We start from the raw sequence: 23,748 nt of genomic DNA, 5'->3' as shown, positions 1-23,748 counted from the left end.
AGAAGTTGAGTGTGGCCAAGATTGTTAGCAAAACTAATTCCTTTTTTCAGATGACTACACCACTTGACTCCATTTTCCAACCTGACTTGCAGTTAGATGTGGTTAATGACTGAGTTCTGGAAAATGAAATGAGAATGGGTTTTATATGCTATTTCGGGGCTGAGATGTTTAAGATGTGAGTGAATCTTCCTCATGGTCTCTGCCCATTCAATATTTTGTTAAGTCAGCACTCCAAGGACCTAGAGATGAGTAGAATCACAGAATGGAAGGAACCTGGGTCCCATGGATCACATGAAGTGCTCAACCATAAATATACATGTGATAGACTATGATATATGTGAAAAACTTGTATTAAATAATAAGCCACTAAGATTTAGGGTTTTATGAAGCAGCAGCATCTTGACCAATATTTTGAGCTATTGCTGATCCATGATCTCTGACTGCAAGAAACAGCATATTTACAAATAGAAGTAAAAAGAGAGAGAGCCAGATTTGAGCTTCTGGAGATAGAGGGATGGCAGGAGGTAATGATGACTGGAAAAAATGTGTGGCCTTGCTGGTGAGAGACACATGACAGTTGCCTGAAAGAACTGTTATGTTACCCAACTGCTCTTTAGCATCAGAAAAGATGAGGGCAGGGTATTGAGTCAGAACAACTAAAGATTACTTGGTTGTTTACAGTTAGGAAACTGAAATTCAGTTTTTAAAATCTTGCCCAGGGAAGTATCCTAGTTCAGATAATAAGACTTCTAGCTGTAAGAATTCAAAATTTTCTTTGTAACTTGTAAGCAGTCACAGAATATTTTATAACTGTGGTTCTCAACTTTGGGGGTGAGTTTTCCCCTCAGGGGATATTTGGCAATCTCTAGAAATATTTTTGGGTGTCATAGCTGGGAGCCAGGGTGCTACTGGCATCTAGTAAGTAAAGATCATAAATGCTGCTAAATACCCTATGATGCGTCTGACTCTCTTTTCAGACTGAGCCCACCTGCACCCAGGTGATTAAAAAGCTTTATTGCTCACACAAAGCCTGTTTGGTGTTCTCTTCACATGGACACGAGTGAAATTGATGCCATGACTCGGATCGGAGGACCTCCCTTGGGAAATCAATCCCCTGTCCTCCTGCTCTTTGCTCCGTGAGAAAGATCCACCTACGACCTCAGGTCCTCAGACCAACCAACCCAAGGAACATCTCACCAATTTTAAATTGTGTAAGCGGCCTCTCTTTACTCTCTTCTCCAACCTCTCTCACTATCCCTCAACCTCCTTCTCCTTTCAATCTTGGTGCCACACTTCAATCTCTCCCTTCTCTCAATTTCAGTTCCTTTCCTTTTCTGGTAGACAAAGGAGACGCATTTTATCCGTGAACCCAAAACTCTGGCGCAGGTCACGGACTCGGGAAGACAGTCTTCCCTTGGTGTTTAATCGCACGGGACACCTGCCTGATTATTCACCCGTGTTTCAGAGGTGTCTGACCACGCGAGGATGCCTGCCTTGGTCCTTCACCCTTAGCAGCAAGTACCGCTTTTTGGGGGGCAAGAACCCCCCCAACCCCTTCTCTCCATGTCTCTACCCCTTCTCCACTTTCCTGGGGGGCAAGCATCCCCCACCCCTTCTCTCTGTGTCTCTACTCTCTCTTTTCTCTGGGCTTGCCTCCTTCACTATGGGCAACCTTCCACCCTCCATTCCTCCCTCTTCTCCCTTAGCCTGTGTTCTCAAGAACTTAAAACCTCTTCAACTCACACCTGACCTAAAACCTAAATGCCTTATTTTCTTCTACAATGCCACTTGACCCCAATACAAACTCGACAGTGGTTCCAAATAGCCAGAAAATGGCACTTTCGATTTTTCCATCCTACAAGATCTAGATAATTCTTGTCGTAAAATGGGCAAATGGTCTGAGACGCCTGACGTCCAGGCATTCTTTTATACATTGCTCCCTCCCTAGTCTCTGTTCCCAATGCGACTCATCCCAAATCCTCCTTCTTTCCCTCCTGCCTGTCCTCTCAGTCCCAACCCCAAGCATCACTGAGTCTTTCTAATCTTCCTTTCCTACAGACCCATCTGACTTCTCCCCTCCTCCCCAGGCTGCCCCTCAACAGGCCTAGCTAGGTCCCAATTCTTCCTCAGCCTCTGCTCCCAAACCCTGTAATCCTTTTATCACCTCTCCTCCTCACACCCAGTCCGGCTTACAGTTTAGTTCCGCAACTAGCCCTCCCCCACCTGCCCAGCAATTTCCTCTTAAAAAGGTGGCTGGAACTAAAGGCATAGTCAAGGTTAATGCTCCTTTTTCTTTATCCCAAATCAGATGGCGTTTAGGCTCTTTTTCTTCAAATATAAAAACCCAGCCCAGTTCATGGCTCATTTGGCAGCAACCCAGAGACGCTTTACAGCCCTAGACCCTAAAATGTCAAAAGGCCATCTTATTCTCAATATACATTTTATTACCCAATCCACTCCCGACATTAAATAAAACTCCAAAAATTAAATTCTGGCCCTCAAACCCTACAACATGACTTAATTAACCTCGCCTTCAAGGTGTACAATAATAAAGTAGAGGCACCCAAGTAGCAATGTATTTCTGAGTTGCAATTCCTTGCCTCCACTGTGAGACAAACCCCAGCCACATCTCCAGCACACAAGAACTCCAAACACCTGAACCGCAGCTGCCAGGGGTTCCTCCAGAACCTCCTCCCCCAGGAGCTTGCTACAAGTGCCAGAAATCTGGCCACTGGGCCAAGGAATGCCCGTAGCCCAGGATTCCTCCTAAGCCATGTCCCATCTGTACGGGACCCCACTGAAAATTGGACTGTTCTACTCACCTGGCAGCCACTTCCAGAGCCCATGGAACTCTGGCCCAAGGCTCTCTGACTGAGTCCTTCCCAGATCTTCTTGGTTTAGCAGCTGAAGACTGACACTGCCCAGTCACCTCGGAAGCCTACAGGACCATCAGAGACACTCTGGGTAACTCTCACAATGGAAGATAAGTCCGTCCCCTTCTTAATCAATACAGAGGCTACCCACTCCACATTACCTTCTTTTCAGGGGCCTGTTTCCCTTGCCTCCATAACTGTTGTGGGTACTGACGGCCAGGCTACTAAACCTCTTAAAACTCCCCAACTCTGGTGCCAACTTAGACAATACTCTTCTAAGCACTCCTTTTTAGTTATCCCCACCTGCCCAGTTCCCTTATTAGGCAGAAACATTTTAATTAAATTATCTGCTTCCCTGACTATTCCTAGGCTACAGCCACACCTCATTGCCACCCTTTTCTCCAATTCAAACCCTCCTTCACATCCTCCCCTTGTATCTCCCCACCTTAAACCACAAGTATAGGACACCTCTACTCCCTCCTTAGTGACCCATCATGCACCTTACCATCCCATTAAAACCTAATCACCCTTACCCCACTCAATGCCAATATCCCATCCCACGGCATGCTTTAAAAAGATTAAAGCCTGTTATCACTCGCCTGCTACAGCACGGCCTTTTAAGGCCTATAAACTCCCCTTACAATTCCCCCATTTTACCTGTTCAAAAACCAGACAAGGCTTACAGGTTAGTTCAGAATCTGCCCCTTATCAACCAAATTGTTTTGCCTATCCACCCCGTGGTGCCAAACCCATATACTCTCCTATCCTCAATACCTCCCTCCACAACCCATTTTTCTGTTCTGGATCTCAAACATGCTTTCTTTACTATTCCTTTGTACCCTTTATCCCAGCCTCTCTTCGCTTTCACTTGGACTGACCCTGACACCCATCAGGCTCAGCAAATTACCTGGGCCGTACTGCCGCAAGCCTTCACAGACAGCCCCCACTGTCAGTAAAGCCCAATTTCTTCCTCATCTGTTACCTATCTCGGCATAACTCTCATAAAAACACAAATGCTCTCCCTGCTAATCATGTCCAACTGATCTCTCAAACCCCAACACCTTCTACAAAACAACTCTTTTTCCTTCCTAGGCATGGTTGGATACTTTTGACTTTAGGTACCTGGTTTTGCCATCCTAAGAAAACCATTAGATAAACTCACAAAAGGAAACCTAGCTGATCCCATAGATCCTAAATCCTTTCCCCACTCCTCTTTCCATTCCTTGAAGACAGCTTTAGAGACTGCCCCCACACTAGCTCTCCCTGACTCATCCCAACCCTTTTCATTACACACAGCCGAACTGCAGGGCTATGCAGTCGGAATTCTTACACAAGAACCGGGACTGTGCCCTGTAGCCTTTTTATCCAAACAACTTGACCTTACTGTTTTAGCCTAGCCCTGATGTCTGCGTGCGGTGGCTGCCACCACCCTAATACTTTTAGAGGCCCTCAAAATCACAAACTATGCTCAACTCACTCTCTACAGTTCTCATAACTTCCAAAATCTATTTTCTTCCTCACACCTGACACATATACTTTCTGCTCCCTGGCTCCTTCAGCTGTACTCACTCTTTGCTAAGTTTCCCACAGTTACCATTGTTCCTCACCCGGACTCCAATCCGGCTTCCCACATTATTCCTGATACCACACCTGACCCCCATGACTGTATGTCTCTGATCCACCTGACATTCACTCCATTTCCCCATATTCTTTCATGTTCCTCACCCTGAACACACTTGGTTTATTGATGGCAGCTCCACCAGGCTAATCACCACTCACCAGCAAAGGCAGGCTATGCTATAGTATCTTCCACACCTATCATTGAGGCTACTGCTCTGCCCGCCTCCACTACCTCTCAGCAAGCCAAATTAGTTGCCTCAACTCAGGCCCTCACTCTTGCAAAAGGACAACATGTCAATACTTATACTGACTCTAAATATGCCTTCCATATTCTGCACCACCATGCTGTTATATGGGCTGAAAGAGGTTTCCTCACTACGCAAGGGTCCTCCAGCATTAATGCCTCTTTAATAAAAACTCTGCTCAAGGCCGCTTTACTTCCAAAGGAAACTTGAGTCATTCACTGCAAAGGCCATCAAAAGGTGTCAGATCCCATTGCTCTAGGCAACGCTTATGCTGATAAGGTGGCTAGACAAGCAGCTAGCATTCCAACTTCTTTCTCCTTCACATGGGTCACTCCCACCTATTCCCCTGCTGAAACTTCCACCTATCAATCTCTTCCCACACAAGGCAAATGGTTCTTAGACCAAGGAAAATATCTCCTTCCAGCCTCACAGGCCCATTCTATTCTGTCATGATTTCATAACCTCTTCCATGTAGGTTACAAGCTGCTATCTCATCTCTTAGAACCTCTCATCTCCTTTCCATCGTGGAAATCTATCCTCAGGGAAACCACTTCTCAGTGTTCCATCTGCTATTCTACTACCCCTCAGGGATTGTTCAGGGCCCCCCTCCCTTTCCTACACATCAAGCTCGGGTATTTGTCCCTGCCCAGGACTGGCAAATTGACTTTATTCACATGCCCCAGATCAGGAAACTAAAATAACTCTTGGTCTGGGTAGACACTTTCACTGGATGGGTAGAGGCCTTTCCCGCAGGGTCTGAGAAGTCCACCACAGTCATTTCTTCCCTTCTGTCAGATACAATTTCTTAGTTTGGCCTTCCCACCTCTATACAGTCTGATAACAGACCGGCCTTTACTAGTCAAATCACCCAAGCAGCTTCTCAGGCTCTTGGTATTCAGTGGAAACTTCATATCCCTTATCGTCTTCAATCTTCAGGAAAGGCAGAACGGACTCGTGGTCTTTGAAAGACACACCTCACCAAGCTCAGCCTCCAACTTAAAAAGGACTGGACAGTACTTTTACCTCTTGCCCTTCTCAGAATTAAGAGCCTGTCCTCGAGATGCTACAGGGTACAGTCCATTTGAACTTGTATACGGATGCGCTTTCTTACTCAGCCCCAACCTCGTCCCAGACACCAGCCCCCTAGGTGAATATATTCCAGTCCTCCAGCAGACTAGACAGGAAATTCGCCATTCCTATCTAGTCTAATCTTCTCTTGCTAATCTTCTCTTGCCTACTCCAGATTCTCAGCCATATGAAGACATCCTAGCTGGACGATCAGTTCTTGTTAAGAATCTGACCCCTCAAACTCTACAACCTTGATGGACCAGACCCTACTTAGTCATCTATAGTACTCCAACTGCTGTCTGCCTGCAGGACCCTCCCCATTGGGTTCACCGCTTCAGAATAAAGCTGTGTCGGTTGGACAGCCAGCCTAATCCCTCCTCTTTCTCCTGGAAGTCGCAAGTACTCTCCCCTACTTCCCTTAAACTCACTCGTATTTCTGAAGAACAGCAATAACCCTTATGAGCCTAATACATCCCTTCATTCTATTAGGTCTGTTCATCTTTACCCTACTTTTTGCAACAGGTCTTTACAAAGTCACCCCCACTACTTGGACTGAGCCCCCAAAACTAGTCATCCCTATCTTCTGTCTAGTCATACTCCTATTCTTCGTTCGCAACTACTTATAAATGCCCTACTCTTATTTACACTGCTGGTTTACACTGTTTCTCCAAGCCAACATAGCTGATATCTCTTGGTGCTATCCCCAAACCGCCACTCTTGACTCCCTCTTAGAGTGGATAGATGATCTTTGCTGGCAGGGGACCCTCCAATACTGTCACCCTGATGAAGTTATATTCTTTACTTTTATATTCACTCTTATTCTCATTCCCATTCTTGTGCCACCCTCTACCTCTCCCCAGCTATCTCCACCACACTATCAACCTTACCCATTCTCTCCTAGCCGCTTCTAATCCCTCCTTAGCGAACAACTGCTGGCTTTGCATTTCCCTTTCTTCCAGCTGTCCTTCTTCCTACACAGCTGTCCCCGCCTTACAGACAGACTGGGCAACATCTCCTGTCTCCCTACACCTCCAAACTTCCTTTAACAGCCCTCACCTTTACCCTCCTGAAGAACTCATTTACTTTCTAGACAGGTCCAGCAAAACGTCCCCAGACATTTCACACCAGCAAGCTGCCGCCCTCCTCCACACTTACATAAAAAACCTTTCTCCTTATATCAACTCTACTCCCCCCATATTTGGACCTCTCACAACACAAACTACTATTCCTGTGGCCACTCCTTTATGTATCTCTCAGCAAAGACCCACTGGAATTCCCCTGGGTAACCTTTCACCTTCTTGATGTTCCTTTACTCTTCATCTCCAAAGACCAACTACACACATCACTGAAACAACTGGAGCATTCCAGCTCCATATTACAGATAAGCCCTCTATCAATACTGACAAACTTAAAAATAATAGCAGTAATTATTGCTTAGGAAGACATTTACCCTGTATTTCACTCCATCCTTGGCTACCTTCCCCTTGCTCGTCAAACTCTCCTCCCAGGCCCTCTTGTTTACTTATACCCAGCCCCGAAAATAACAGTGAAAGGTTGCTCGTAGATACTCAACGTTTTCTCATACACCATGAAAATCAAACCTCCCCTTCTATGCAGTTACCTCATCAGTCCCCATTACAACCTCTGACAGCTGCCACCCTAGCTGGATCCCTAGGAGTCTCAGTACAAGACACTCCTTTCGGTACTCCTTCTCATCTTTTTACTTTGCATCTCCAGTTTTGCCTCGCACAGGGTCTCTTCTTCCTCTGTGGATCCTCTACCTACATGTGTCTACCTGCTAATTGGACAGGCACATGCACACTAGTTTTCCTTACCACCTAAATTCAATTTGCAAATGAGACCGAAGAGCTCCCTGTTCCCCTCATGACACCGACACGACAAAAAAGAGTTATTCCACTAATTCCCTTGCTTGTCGGTTTAGGACTTTCTGCCTCCACTATTGGTCTCCCTACTGGAATAGCAGGCAACCTCTGTCACGACTTTCCGTAGCCTCTCTAATGACTTCTCTGCTAGCATCACATACATATCACAAACTTTATCAGTCCTCCAGGCCCAAGTTGACTCTAGCTGCAGTTGTCCTCCAAAACCGCCGAGGCCTTCATTTACTCACTGCTGAGAAGGGAGGACTCTGTATATTTTTAAATGAAGAGTGTTGTTTTTACCTAAATCAATCTGGCCTGGTGTATGACAACATAAAAAAACTCAAGGATAGAGCCCAAAAACTTGCCAACCAAGCAAGTAATTATGCTGAACCCCCTTGGGCACTCTCTAATTCCATGTCCTGGGTCCTCCCAATTCTTAGTCCTTTAATACCTATTTTTTTCCTTCTTTTATTCAGACCTTGTATCTTCCATTTAGTTTCTCAATTCATCCAAAACTGTATCCAGACCATCACCAATCATTCTATACGACAAATGCTCCTTATAACAACCCCACGATATCACCCCTTACCACAAAATCCTCCTTCAACTTGACCTCTCTCACTCTAGGTTCCCATGCCGCCCCTAATCCTGCTCGAAGCAGCCCTGAGAAACATCACCCATTAACTCTCCATGCCACCGCCCCCCCAAAAAAATATTTTTTTCACTGTCCCAACACTTCAATACTATTTTATGTTATTTTTCTTATTAATATAAGAAGGCAAGAATGTCAGGCCTCTGAGCCCAAGCTAACCCATCGTATCCCCTGTGACCTGCACGTATACACCCAGATGGCCTGAAGTAACTGAAGAATCACAAAAGAAGTGAAAATGGCCTGTTCCTGCTTTAACTGATGACATTCCACTACAAAAGAAGTGAAAATGGCTGGTCCTTGCCTTAACTGATGACATTACCTTGTGAAATTCCTTCTCCTGGCACATCCTGGCTCAAAAAGCTCCCCCACTGAGCACCTTGTGACCCCCCACTCCTGCCCGCCAGAGAACAACCCCCCTTTGACTGTAATTTTCCTTTACTTACCCAAATCTTATAAAACGGCCCCACCCCTATCTCCCCTTAGCTGACTCTCTTTTCGGACTCAGCCCACCTGCACCCAGGTGATCAAAAAGCTTTATTGCTCAAAAATAAATAAATAAATAAATAAATAAATAAATAAATAAATACCCTATGATGCATAGACAGTTCCCCACAGTTTAAAAAAAAAAAAATCAACCCAAAATGTCAATACTGATGCTCCTCGATTTACAATGGGGTTACATCCTGATAACACCATCATAAATTTAAAATATTGTAAGTTGAAAATGCATTTAATACATCTAACCTAGAGAACATTGTAGCTTATCCTAGCCTCCCATAAACATGCTCAAAACACATTACCCTACAGTTGGGAAAAATCACATAACAAAAAGACTATCTTATAATAAAGTGTTGAATAACTCATGTAATTTATTGACTATTGCACTGAAAGTGTAAAAAAGAATGGCTCTGTGGGTACTCAAATACAGTTTCCAGTGCCATTGTAAAGTCAAAATATCATGGTAAGATGTACCGTAGTGGCCCGGTGTGGTAGGCGTGGGAGACCGAGGTGGGCAGATCACTTGAGGCCAGGAGTTTGAGACCAGCCTAGCCAACATGGAGAAACCCCGTCTCTACTAAAAATACAAAAATTAGCCAGACGTGGTGGCACGTGCCTGTAATACCAACTACTCGAGAGGCTGAGGCAAGAGAATCACTTGGACCCAGGAGGCGGAGGTTGCAGTGAGCCCTACCCCTTCTCAAAAAAAAAAAAGAAAAAAAACAGCTGTACCATTGTAAGTCGGGGACCATCTGCAGTAACAAGATTGAGAAATCTTGCTTTAGAATGTTGTGTGACCATGCATAAAAAAAATTTGGTTTCCAACTTTAATAAAAACTAATCTGTAAGGCTAACCAAAAGGTAGTTTGACCTTGACATTAGCCCATCATTTTTGTATATTCTTTTTTTCAAAATCTCATTTTGTTTACAGCAAAGTTATATGGAGAAAGACAAGCTTCCCAATAAAGTATGTATTAATTAAACAAAGGCCTAGGGGTTTGGCTTATACCTACAAAACTGCACACCATTGAAAATTGAAATTTGCCAAGGACAAAAGTCACTGCACAAATCAATAATCCCCTGGGGTAAAAAATGCTCACTTTGTATGGATATTCTGTTTTCACCTTAAGATTCATAATAGCTTGCCGTATTTATGACACCCGAAGAGAAGGAATAGGAAAAATATCTGTCATGTCAAAAGGCATCATAGAGTGTTCTGGCTGACTTGAACAACACTGAGACTAAAATAGTTGTAGGGGTCTATTTTGAAGGTGGAGATGGGGGACATAAAATTACAAAAGATATGCCATCAGCAATCAAATTCTAGGTTAGTTAGATTTCATGCTGCTTTCTTGAACATATCTTTCTGTTCTTCTTAAGGCCCCATTATTAATCTCAGCTTGCCAGGAGAATTTAATATTTCCTCTCCTTATTTTCCCCTCATTTTTAGTTGCAAGAAAGTACACTGTCTATCACATTAATTCTGATAAGGAGATATTAATTCTGATAAGAGTACACATTTAAATACCATATCAGGGTTTATGTATATTTATATCCACATTGCATATATATGTATCCATGCATATAGGTATATTCTGATTCTATGTTATTAGCAACATCATTCTTCTCTGTTAATAATTTGGAAGAAGTTCAAAAATTTATTAAATACTCTGATTTTGGCTCTATAGAGAGTTATTAGAAAAATTATTATCTAAATACAACCTGCTAAATGCTTGTTTAAGACATGTACTTTATTCTTCTGGGTTGCTGTAGATTTTTAAAGTCTCATTCTTATGTTAAATTAGAACATCAACAGCACCTAAAACATTTTTACTGGGGTGACATTTAATGCTATTATCTATGTTCTTATAAGGTCACTAGAACATTCAGTTGTTTGAGCAACATTTGAGCATCTTTCACACATTTGTAAATGAAGATATTACCCAGTATTTTACTCAACATACTTTCTATTGGTATCTAGAGGATAAATCCATCTTTAAGCTTAATTTCAAGGTTTATTTACAGATGAATATTATGCAACACGTTTCCAGGTTATAAAATGTTACTTTCTCATTTTCAATTCAATAAACATGTATGTAATTGTGAACTACATATGTAAAGGTTTACAAAGGAAAGTAAGGGAAGCGAGGAGGGAAGGGGCTTTTAAGGATGAATTAAGAGAGTATGACTTGTTACTAAAATAGCTCTAGTTGCTTGATACTTAAGACAACTCTGAAAGCCAGTTTATTTTCTAAATAAAGAGGGATGGTAGAAAATCCTAGAGAAATGGGAACTTAGAGCTGTAAAGAAAATGGCAAAGAATGTTAGTTAAAAAATATCAATCTCCAGATTACAAGTTGATGAGGAGTCAAAGAAAGTTATGGTTAGCCCACTCTCTATAAAAGATACTTAACTGGTTAGGGGAAAATTGAAACTCAGTAGAAACTTCTCTAATCCTGACCACAAAAGTGGCAGGAGAGCTCATTAACAGAATTGCAAGGTGCTTGAGTAAATTTTGAGTCCATTTTGGAGAAAAATTTTAATATATATAAAGCAAAAAATAATTTTAGGATTTCTTCTGTTTTGTATTCTTACATCTTTTAAAATCAGTCTATTATTTATTAATCATATAAAAATTCATTTTGGAATTATAAATACATGATTAGATTTTACACATAAATGGGTAACATCTTATTATTGCTTTGAGTTCTTTCCAAAAATCAGTTTCTTCCAAATTATTCAATATCCATGTTTCAGTCACAGCTGAGTCTTGTCACTGTGCTTACCTGGCAGTATTCTTAGTTGAATTTTAATAGTCAATCCAGGTTAAGTTTCTTAAAATATAAACTACTCGAAGTTCTAAACCAGGGATTGAAAATGGGCAATAATAGGATCCTGTAATACAAGATGACTTCTTATTATTTCTTTAACCACTTTGAGTTTACCAGTCAAACTCAGTACCTAATTGAGATAACCATCTTACCACAGGTACCTGTTAACATCTATGCCATTGCTCCCTCAAGTTTTCCTGGGTTAATGTTAATTGTTATACTTAAGTATACAAACTGTCACATGTACAAAATAAAATAAATACTATGTTTGATATTTTCAAGGAAGCAATTGTACTCAGAATAACATCTATAAGTAATGAACAATTCAGGAATAATTATATTCCCATTCACATTAATGCAAATTATTCATGCAGATTAATAAGTCCCACAAGCTCAGGATCCAAAAGCAATTGGTTACACTTAAAATAAGTTATACCCTGAAAGTATAGGAATATCAGCAACAATTGAAATTATGACCCAAAGCAATAATATCATAATTCTCTGGGCTCCTAATATTCACTTCCACAGAATACATCGTAACTAGGTTAAACCAGATAAAGGTGGAAAGATTAGTGAGAAATTCATAGACTGGTTAAATTATTTGCAGAATAATAAAGTTTAAAATTTATTTGCAAGTTTGTACACGTTTACATGTAGTAGAATCTCACAAACTCAACTACATGGCGAGGGAAGACCTACTTCAATTAGCAAAAATATATACGTTGTAAGGATTTTTAAATGAATGCATTCAGGTATATATTGTAACTACAACCAGAAAAACAACAAGCTTTTAGAAGTCCCAAAAGAGACTTATTTTAATGACTAGAGAAGAAAGATTTGCAATTAGCATATTCATTACTTGTATGTAAATTGATGATTCTAACAGCTGCTTAAGGGTGTTAAAAAACAATTTGTTCTATTAAGGAATTTAAACATTCTCCTTAAAATCTTGTTTACCTGTTTAATTTGCTGAACAATGTCATTCCTCAATCAGAGGACAAGGGAAAAAGAAAGATTCAGATTGTCTCTTGTTGTTAATTTTCCTCTGGTGCGATCCTTATATAAAAAGGACAGTGAGAGGCTACAGTTCAATGCTAATATTTTGGTGACTTTCTTTATTCTTTAATTAAGTGCTGCATTTTTTGTTTCTGGCAGGAATATGTTTTGCAGTGGTAAAGATGATCTTGCTACAGTAGTGACATCTTTTTCAGTGATGAATTCCCTAGCAAAGTTCAGAATAAAAAAGGTGGAGAGAATTAACAAAGTAAATTTATTCTCAAGAATGGTTGGTAATCAATAGTCTATGACCTTCATTTTGGCAAGAGATCAAATCATGTCTTAAAACTGGTGATAGTGGGAGTACTACAGAGTATGATGTCTGGCCCCTTCTCTAGGATTCCAATTATGAGAACCTTTTATTTTCTTCTTAAGCAAGCATAAGCAAGAGATTTGAACAGACAGCTAAATAATTATTCTAAGATCTGACATTATCTGTGGTATTCCTCTCCCTGCAGGAAAACCAAGGCAAACTATCCCTTTAGCCAGCTCCTGCCAGCCCTTGAAAATGAATCAATGCCAGTGAGACAGATTAGGGATGGGACCCAGTCTCCACACCCCCACCTCCCATGTCCCACCAAGGACTTCTACTGCAAGCTGGGCTTTGGGTGTGGCCGGCAGGGACCCCAACCAATCCCTCCAGACCATGTACCCTCTTGCTCAAAGCACCATACCCACTGGTTGCAGGACCTTGAGGAAGCTAAAATAAGCAGCTCCCACCATAAATCTTACTCAAAGGAGTTACCCTATCTCCTGCATGTGCACAAGACCACGAGAGTAACTGATCCTAAACCCTAGCTTCATTGTAATATTAAAAGTCACACCCAGGGGTGGAAATTTACGTATTTATTTTTTGGAATTTTTCTCCATAGTTTATTGGGATACAGGTGGTGTTTGGTTACATCAGTAAGTTCTTTAGTGGTGATTTGTGAGATTTTGGTCCACCCATCACACAAGCAGTATACACTGCACCCTGGTTGTAGTCTTTTATCCCTTGTCCCCTCCCACGCTTCCGCCCACGTTCCCAAAGTCCATTGTATCATTCTTATGCCTTTGCGTCCTCATAGCTTAGCTCCAACATATCAATGAGAACATACGATGTTTAGTTTTTCATTCCTGAGTTACTTTGCTTAGAATAACAGTCTCCAATCTCATCGAGGTGGCTGCAAATGCCATTAAATCATTTCTTGTTATGGCTGAGTAGTATTTCATGGTGTGTGTATATATATATCTATATATATATATATATCTATATATATATGTATCAATCACAGTTTATCCACTCGATTTATGGGCATTTGGGTTGGTTCCACAATTTTGCAATTGTGAATTGTGCTGCTATAAACATGCTTGTGCAAGTATCTTTTTCGTATAATGATTTCTTTTCCTCTGGGTAGATACCTAATAGTGGGATTGCTGGATCAAGTGGTAGATCTACTTTTAGTTCTTTACCGAATCTCCACACTGTTTCCCATAGTGGCTATACTAGTATACATTCCCACCAGCAGTGTAGAAGGAATTCCCCGATCACCACATCATGCCAACATCTACTGTTTTATTTTTTGATTATGGATGGCCATTCTTGCAGGAGTAAGAATGCAGGTGGTATCACATTGTGGTTTTGATTTTTATTTCCCTGATCATTAGGGATGTTGAGCATTTTTTCATTTGTTTGTTGGCCTTTCACATATCTTCTTTTGAGAATTGTCTATTCATGTCCTTAGCACACTTTTTGATGGCACTGATTTTTCTTACTGATTTGCTTGAGTTTGTTGTAGATTCTGGATATTAGTCCTTTGTCAGATGTATAGATTGTGAAGATTTTCTCCCACTCTGTGGGTTGTCTGTTTAATCTGTAGACTGTTCCTTTTGCCATGCAAAAGCTTTTTAGTTTATTAAGTCCCAGCTATTTATAATTGGTTTTTTTTTGCATTTGCTTTGGGGTTCTTGGTCATGAAATCCTTGCCTAAGCCAATGTCTAGAAGGGTTTTTCCAATGTTATGTTCCAGAAATTCCAAAGTTTCAGGTCTTAGGTTTAATTCATCTTGAGTTTATTTTTGTATAAATTGAGAGATGAGGATCCAGTTTCATTCTCCTACATGTGGCTAGCCAATTATTCCGGTACCATTTGTTGAAAAGGGTGTTCTTTCCCCACTTTATGTTTTTGATTGCTTTGTCGAAGATCAGTTAGCTGTATTTGGGTTTATTTCTGGGTTCTCTATTCTGTTCCATGGGTCTATGTGCCTACTTTGATACCAGTACCATGCTGTTTTGGTGACTACGGCCTTACAGTATAGTTTGAAATCAGGTAGTGTGATGCCTCCAGATGTGTTCTTTTTGCTTAGTCTTACTTTGGCTATGCAGGCTCTTTTTTGGTTCCATATGAAATTTAGAAATGTTTTTATCTAATTCTGTAAAGAATGATGGTGGTATTTTTATGGGAATTGCATTGAATTTGTAGATTACTTTTGGTAGTATGGTCATTTTTACAACATTGATTCTACCCATCCATGAGCATGGGATGTGTTTCCATCTGTTTGTGTCATCTACGATTTCTTTCAGCAGTGTTTTCTAGTTTTTCTTGTAGATGTCTTTTGCCTCCTTGGGTAGTTAATTCCTAAGTATTTTATTATTTTTTTGCAGCTATTGTAAAAGGGGTTGAGTTCTTGATTTGATTTTCCCCCTTGGTCCCTATTGATGCATAGAAGAGCTACTTATTTGTATATATTAATCCTGTAACTGGAAACTTTGCTGAATTCTTTTATCAGTTCTAGAAGCTGTCTGGAGTCTTTACGATTTTTTAAGTAAATTATAATATCATCAGGAAACAGTGACAGTTTGACTTCCTCTTTACTGATTTGGATCCCCTTTATTTCCTTCTATCATCTGATTGATCTGGCTAGGACTTCCAGTACTGTGTTGAAGAGAAGCGGTGTGAGTGGGCATCCTTGTCTTATTCCAGTTCTCACAGTGAATGCTTTCAACTTTTCCCCATTCAGTATCATGTTAGCTGTGGGTTTGGCATACATGGCTTTTATTACATTGAGGTATGTCCCTTGTATGCCGATTCTGCTGAGAGTTTTAATCATAGAAGGATGCTGGATTTTGTTGAATGCTTTTTCTGCATCTATTGAGATGATCATGTGATTTTTGTTTTTAATTCTGTTTATGTGGTGTATCACATTTATTATAAAACTATCCTTGCATCCATGGAATGAAACCCACTTGATAATCATGAATTATCTTTTTGATATGCTGTTGGATTTGGTTAGCTAGTATTTTGTTAAGGATTTTAGCAGCTATGTTCATCAGGGATATTGGTCTGTAGATTTCTTTTTTTGTTATGTCCTTTTCTGATTTTGTTATTAGGATCATACTGGCTTCATAGAATGATTTAGAAGGGTTCCCTCTTTCTCCATCTTGCGGAATAGTGTCAATAAGATTGGCACCAGTTCGTCTTTGAATTTTTGGTATAATTCTGCTGTGAATCCATTTGGTCCTGGATTTTTTTGTTTTGGTTGGTAATTTTTTAATTACCATTTTAATCTCACTTCTTGTTATTGGTCTGTTCAGGATATCTAATTATTCCTGCTTAAGCTAGGAGGGTTGTGTATTTCCAGGAATTTATCAACCTCTTCTAGGTTTTCTAGTTTATGCAGGTAAAGTGGTTCATAGTAGCTTTGAATGATCTTTTGTATTTCTTTGATGTCAGTTGTAATATCTCCTGTTTCATTTCTTAATGAGGTTGTTTGAATTTTCCCTCTTTTCTTGGTTAATCTTGCTAATGATCTATCAATTTTATGTATCTTTTATGTAGCCTTTTGTTTCATTTATCTTTTGTATTGTATTTTGTTTCAATTTCCTTTAGTTCTGCTTTGATCATGCTATTTCCGTTCTTCTGCTGGGTTTGGATTTGGTTTGTTCTTTTTTCTCTAGCTCCTTGAGGTGTTAACCTTAGAATGTAATCTTGTGCTCTTTCAGTCTTTTTGATGTAGGTGTTTACAACTATGAACTTTCCTCTCAGCACTGCCTTTGCTGTATCCCAGAGGCTTTGATAGGTTGTATCATTATTGTCATTCAGTTCAAAGAATTTTTTAATTTCCATCTTGATTTCGTTTTTGACCCAGTGATCATTCAGGAGCAGGTTATTTAATTTCCATGTATTTGCATGGTTTTGAAGGTTCCTTTTGGAGTTGATTTCCAATTTTATTCCACTGTGGTCTGAGAGAGTGTTCGATATAATTTCAATTTTCTCAAATTTTGTGAGGTTCATTTTGTGGCCTATTACATGCTCTATCTTTGAGAAAGTTCCATGCACTGTTGAAAAGAATGTGCATTCTTTGATTGTTGTATGAAATGTTCTTTATATATCTGTTAAGTCCATTTGTTCCAAGGTATAGCTAAAATCCATTTTTTCTTTGTTGACTTTCTGTCTTGATGACCTGCGTAGTTCAGTCAGTGGAGTATTGAAGTGCCCCCCATTATTGTGTTGCTGTCTATCTCATTTCTTAGGTCTATTAGTAACTGTTTTATAAATTTGGGAGTTCCAGTAATAGGTGCATATATGTTTAGTATTGTGATATTTTTCTGTTGGACCAAGGCCTTTTACCATTATATAATGTCCTTCTTTGTCGCTTTCAACTGCTGCTGTTGGTTTAAAGTTTGTTTTTTCTAATATAAGAATTGTTACTCCTGCTCGCTTTTGGTGTTCATTTGCATGAAATGCCTTTTTCCACCCCTTTACTTTAAGTGGAGGTGGCAGGCAGGTGGAAATGGACTCTCTGAGGGTTCTTAGCTTTGGTCGTTTAATGTTCTATTTTTGTGCTGCCTGGCCTCCTGCCAAGAGGTGGTGCTTTATGGAAATAATCAGTTGTGGTAGTATGGAGATAAACTGGTGGTGGGCAGGGCCCTAGAACTCCCAAAAGTATATGCCTTTTGTCTTCAGCTATGTTGGTGGGTAGGGAAGGCCTATCAGGCGGGGGCAGGGCTAGGTGTGTCTGAGCTCAGACTCTCCTTGGGTGGATCTTGCCATGGCTGCTGTGGGGGATGGGGATGAGGTTCCCAGGACAATGAATTTGTGTACCTAGAAGGATAATGGCTGCCTCTACTGAGTCATGCAGGTTGTCAAGGAAGTGGGGAAAAACCAGCAGTCACAGGCCTCACCCAGCTCCCATGCAATCCAAAGGGCCAGTCTCCCTCCCACCATGTCTCCCCTAAAAGCACTGAGTCTGTTTCCAGGCAGTGGGCAAGCAGGACTTGAGAACTTGCCCCAGGCTACCCCCTCCCAACTGCAAAAGAAAGGGGCTTTGGTTTTTTCCCCCCGCCTGTGGAGTCTGCACACCAGATTCACACCCTCCCTGGAGTTCTTGCCAGGAGGCTTCTCACCTGGTTCAAATTGTTACTAAATTCAGCTGGAGACTTCCTTCTCCCTGTGGCATTTTCCTCACACCACTGGCTGCCCCACCCAGATCCCTGTGATGCCAGGCAAGAACACGTGCTTGGGGACCCAGCAAGCTTCCAGGACCTTTCCCACTGCTTCCTCTACCCCTATATTTTGCTCGGCTCTCTAAATCAACTCAGATCCAGGTAAGGTCAGAAATTCCTCCAGCAAACTAGACTTTCAGTTTCTCCAGTGGGGCTGTGTGTTTGGGAGCAGAGTCTGGGATGTCTCTTGGGTCCTGCAGGAGCAGTCTGCTTCCTTCACAGAGTCTGTGGGTCCTCTCGGGATTCCTGGTTTGCTCTTGCAGTCATCCTGGAGCTAAAATTCATGATCCAAGCCTTTACACGCTGCTCTGTCTGAGTTGGAGCTACAATCTAGTTCTGCCTCCTGTCCACCATGATGATCGAGGGGTGTAAATTTAATGTGCTAATGGAACATGTGATGCATGAAGAAGCATATTATTAAAGCGCACAGGTGCCACTATTTCCCCACCTCTACCTACCTAAACATTACTTCCTTTCTGCCATAACCCTTTAAAACTTCCTTTTCAATTCCCTCTGAGGGGTCACCAGAGAATTTCTCTCTTTCTCTCTCTCTCTCTCTCATTCTGCCTCCCTTATGCTGGGACATAAACTCCAATAAAGCCTTGTCTAGGAAAACTCTTTCGGCCTTGTGGCATCAGCACACAGACTAAAACTATTTAACCTCCACCCTGCATTGATTACCTTCCCTTCTACCTGTTGCTTGATCTAGACCAGGGCTTTTCACACTTTAGTGAGCATGTAAATCACTTGGAGGGCCTTGTTAAATTATGAAGTCTTGAGTAAGTTCTGAGATTCTGCATTTCTAATAAGGTCCCAGGTGATGCTGCTGATTGATGGACCAAACATAAGTAACAAAAGAGGTAGAACTTAATCTCAAGTCCCTGGTTTTAACACTGGTATAGTCACAATGATGATGATAATGATAATAGCAGCAACAAATATATAAAAATATATCAAAATTTGTTGTAATTTTCTGCACTAATGTGAAAACTGGGATGCTATGTTTGATGAAATCTCTGTGAGAACAACAGAGTACTTAAGAATTCAAACATCTCACACTATATTAAGCTGTTTCAGAAAGAAGAAAATATGAGACTAAATAGGAGCGAAAAGGAGGAAGGAAGGGAGGGAGGGAGAGAAGGAGGAAGGGAGGAAGGAAGGAAGGGAAGAAGGAAGGAAGGAAGGAAGGAGTATCCATCCATTCTTACACTGCTATAAAGAACTGCTGGGACTGGGTAATTTATAAAGAAAAGAGGTTTAATTGACTCACCGTTCTGCATGGCTGGAAAGGCCTCAGGAAACTTACAATCATGGTGGAAGGCAAAGGGGAAGCAAGGCACCTTTTTCACATGGCAGCAGGAAGGAGAATGAATGCAGGAGGAACTACCGAACACATAAGACCATCAGATCTCCTGAGAACTCACTATCATGAGAACAGCATGGAGGAAACCACCCCCATGATTCAATTACCCCCACCTGGTCTCTCCCTTGACACATGGGGATTATGAGGATTATGGGGATTACAATTCAAGATGAGATTTTTGGGTGGGGACACAGCCAAACCATATCAGAAGGAAAAAAAGGACAAATAAATTGGAGCCTGCAGAGCCATTTTCTCAGAAAACACTGCTGATATTGGGACAATGCTTCCAGCATATGTACAACCTGTTCTTTCATTCAGCAAATATTTATTGAGCATATTCTATGCAAAGGGCATGAAGTTCTGAAGATACTAAAATTAGCATGACAAATAGGATCTTTGCCATCCCAAAGTACGTAGAAGAGCAGTTCACACCATCCATCTTCTGTGTATGATGAGACTACTTCAAATATTTTTTTAAATACTTGAGTTCTCCCAGAGGTTTTCATTTCTATCATCCCTTTCTTCTACAAAAGTGTTGTTCTATAGATCCTTACAAGAGTCTAGCAAATATTGAATAGTATCTCTGCACTCGTGCATTGTTATTACACCTGTTCCATCTTGAGCAAATAGCAGGAAAACAGGCTATGAGTCCTTCAAGTTGATAAGGCAGGGTTAGAAGAGCAAAATTAAAAACAGGAAATGGGCCAATATTATATACATAAGAGAATTAACAACAGCAAAAGTAAAGGCTGTTTTTAGCACTTTTTTTTAACTTCCATAACAACCCTTTGAGCAAGCACATTTATTAAAACCACTTTTCAAGTAATACGAAAAGATGCTGAGAGAGGATAAATAGTTTTCCCAAGATAATAAAATTAACAAAAGCCAAGGCTGAGGTCAGTCAAACCCAAGTAGGGGCTAATTCAATGACAAAGCTCTCAAAGGCTGTGATATGCTGGCTTCTCAGAACCTGGCATATGGTGAGAGAAAAAGCAGAACGTGGGCTAAAGTCACCTATAAGTTAATTAAAAGAAGATGCCAAGTACAAGTATGGTTGAGAATAATAAATCAGAGACTAAAAGCTAATTCCAAATTGTAGACGACAGAAGCTGGGGAGGGAGGTGAATAGCAGGCCAAAGGTCAAGACACATTTTCATGGGTAACATTTTCTGACAGAGTTTCTTGAGAAGATCTGCAGCATTAACCCTGAGCATCCATTTCAAACCATCTCCAAGACTGAGCACTCCTACCCCAGCTTCTGCTACACCAACAACTTCTTTCCCACTGAGCACCCCCACCCCAGCATCTGCTACACTCACAACTTCGTTACCACTGATGATGCTTCACCTCACTGTATTGCCACTAAGCTTAGTCACCAAGTAATGAACAGCACTGAGGTAGCCACCACCTTTCCCACAACAGTGTCTTCAAATATTAAATACCATGAGGCACAAACAGAGTTTTCTGTTGCGGTGAAAAATGAGGAGTCCCCTGACAAATCTCACAACTGCCTTACAGATCTCTATTAATCATAATCCATAAGAATAATTTTCTTGGGAACATTTCTTACACTTACACTTATGTCATAGTATTTGCAGGCTTGAGGATTCTTCCATGTGCTTTGGATAATTTACTTCTCCATAAACCTAGAAGGGAAATATAACCTTGAACCATCTAGGCCACTTGCTAGCCTAGCAATTTTAATGTACAGACACCTCCCTCCTGTCTTTTTTAATGGAGCAAATGCCATAAATAACTGGGATCTTAGGCCTTAAATTTTATGTGGAAAGGGCGACCATAGTAAAACTTACTGAGAATTTCCAAAAAATTTATAAAGCATCAGCTTGAGTTATCGGTCTGTAAGGATGCATCTCATAGAAAAAGTATGTTAACCCAGAAAATATTCTTTACATTATTTTGTTCATATTAGATGCTGCATATCCAGAAATAGGACACAAGAACAATGACAGAGAACAAGGTTTTCTGCTTAGAAATTTAACCTTCACGTCTTCTGACTCTGGACCTCTCACCCTTCTTTGCCTTTATACTGGACTAAACAAGTTAAATTTGGACTCTATTTTGTAGACATCAGTGAGTAGAGCAGAGTATTTTAAGGTAAAGGGTAAGATAACTAAGCTGATTTTAGATAATAGTATAAGTTTAGAACTGAAAAGCCTTATTGAAAGGAAGAAGGAAACGCAGACAAGATTGGGAGCTATTTCAAGGATGTAACACTTACGTTTACTTTTTACTCTAGATTTTCCAATTACCCTGTCCTCAGCCCAGTCCTTCTTTACCTATTCTTGTGAAAACTTTTTCTCAGTTTCAACTTGTTTCTAGCTAGTCTCAGATGAGGCTGTCAAAGTTCTCCCAGCTACTAAGATGCAGGTCTTTTTCTGTTTCTACTTTTGCCTGGCTTTGGGAAAAAGAGCAACATATCTTTTGTTGTTTGGTTGGTTGGTTTTAGACACAGGGCCTCACTCTGTCACCCAGGCTGAAGTGCAGTGGCACAATCATAGCCCACTGTAACCTTCAACTCCTGGGCTCAAGCAGTCCTCCCACTTCAGCCTCCTGAGTAGCTAGAACTATAGGTACATGCCACCACACCCAGTTAATTTTTTTATTTTTTGTAGAGTTGGAGTCTATGTTGCCCAGGCTTGTCTGGAACTCCTGGCCTCAAGAAATCCTTTCATGTTGGACTCCCAAACTGCTGGGATTATAGGTGTGAGCCACTGCTCCCAGCCCAACCATATGGTTATAAGCTATTCCAGTTACTACTTCTACATAACAAACTACTCCAAATTTGTTGAACCTCATGACTATGAGTCAAGAATGTGAGCAGATCTTGGTTAAACTATTCTGCTTCGTGTAGTATTGACTGGGGTACTTGGTGGTACCCAGGAGGCAGATATGCTGGCCTGGAAAATCCAAGGTGGCTTTACACTTACATCTGGTACATTGGCAGGGGTGGCTGGAAGGCTGGGCTCAGCTAGAACTATTCACAGGAGTCACTAATATTGCCTTTCCAACATGAGAGCCTCAGTGTAGTCAGACTTCTACCATGGCAATTGCTTTCCCCAGAGCAAGTGTCCCAAGAGAACTGAGTAGAAGCTTCTTTGGACATTGGACCTTTTCTGATGTAGATGTTAGTGTCACAGAGTGTAACTATATTCTGTTGGTTACAAGTTGAGTTATAGACCAGCCTAGATTCAAGGGGAGATAATGTATTTTTTTAAATATTTTTTTAATTAGCCAGGCATGGTGGCACATACCTGTAATCCCAGCTACTTGGGAGGCTGAGGCAGGAGAATCGCTTGAACCCGGGAGGTGGAGTTTGCAGCGAGCTGAGATCGTACCATTGCACTCCAACCTGGGAAACACAGTGAGACTCTGTCTCAAATATACATATATATTGTTAAATTTGTGGGTATATAGTAGGTGTCTATATTTATGGGTATATGAGATGTTTTGATACAGGCATGCAATGTGAAATAAGCACATCATGGAGAATGGTGTATCCATCCCCTTAAGCATTTATCCTTTGAACTTTGAGTTACAAACAATCCAATTACACTCTTTATTTTAAAACATACAGTCAAGTTATTATTGACTATAGTCACCCTGTGTTGTGGCTATGAAATACTTGGTCTTATTCATTTTTTCTATTTTTTTTGTACCCATTAATTATCCCCACCTCCCCTCCAACACCCCACTACCCTTCCCAGCCTCTGGTCACCATCCTTCTACTCTGTGTGTCCATGAGTTCAAGTGATTTGATTTTTAGATCCCAGTAATAAGTTAGAACATGTGACATTTGTCCTTCTGTGCCTGGCTTATTTCACTCAACATGATGATCTCCTTCCATCCACTTTGTTGCAAACAACTGGATCTCACTCCGTTTAGGGCTGAATAGTACTCTATTGTGTATATGTGCCATATTTTCTTTATCCATTCATCTGTTGATGGACACTTAACTTGCTTCCAAATCTTAGCTATTGTAAACAGTGCTGCAACAAACATAACAGTGTGGATATCTCTTTGATATACTGATTTCCTTTCTTTTGGGTATATATCCAGCAGTGGGAGTGCTGGATCATAAGGTAGCTCAATTTGTGGTTTTCTAAGGTACCTCCAAACTGTTCTCCATAGTGGCTGTACTAACTTACATCCCTGTC

At 40.9% G+C, this 23,748-nt stretch overlaps 1 long non-coding RNA gene across 2 annotated transcripts in view, besides 2 other annotated features; it reads right to left on the bottom strand.

Moving 5' to 3' along the window:
• LOC105377002 (uncharacterized) overlaps positions 1 to 22,887 on the bottom strand; it is a 64,826-nt gene extending 41,939 nt beyond the window's left edge. For both annotated transcript variants that reach the window (XR_940663.2, XR_001740551.1), the window contains exons 1-2: positions 22,846 to 22,887; positions 21,150 to 21,219 (exon numbers count right to left, since the gene is read on the bottom strand). This is a non-coding gene — a long non-coding RNA (uncharacterized LOC105377002). The remainder of the gene's footprint in view (positions 1 to 21,149; positions 21,220 to 22,845) is intronic.
• Positions 4,704 to 5,225: an enhancer, noted in NCBI's record as "NANOG hESC enhancer chr3:26202803-26203324 (GRCh37/hg19 assembly coordinates)". NCBI's record gives its function as "activates a minimal SCP1, AML or CMV promoter by ChIP-STARR-seq in primed H9 embryonic stem cells {active_cell/tissue: H9 hESC(primed)}" and the evidence as "EXISTENCE:reporter gene assay evidence [ECO:0000049][PMID:30033119]".
• Positions 8,359 to 8,873: an enhancer, noted in NCBI's record as "NANOG hESC enhancer chr3:26199155-26199669 (GRCh37/hg19 assembly coordinates)". NCBI's record gives its function as "activates a minimal SCP1, AML or CMV promoter by ChIP-STARR-seq in naive H9 embryonic stem cells {active_cell/tissue: H9 hESC(naive)}" and the evidence as "EXISTENCE:reporter gene assay evidence [ECO:0000049][PMID:30033119]".
• Positions 22,888 to 23,748: the final 861 nt, after the last annotated feature.

The sequence above is a fragment of the Homo sapiens genome, chromosome 3 (assembly GCF_000001405.40).
Source record: "Homo sapiens chromosome 3, GRCh38.p14 Primary Assembly".
NCBI classification, from domain to species: domain Eukaryota; kingdom Metazoa; phylum Chordata; class Mammalia; order Primates; family Hominidae; genus Homo; species Homo sapiens.
The sequence above is the reverse complement of the archived record's forward strand: the minus strand, read 5'-3'. Positions and strand labels throughout refer to the sequence as shown.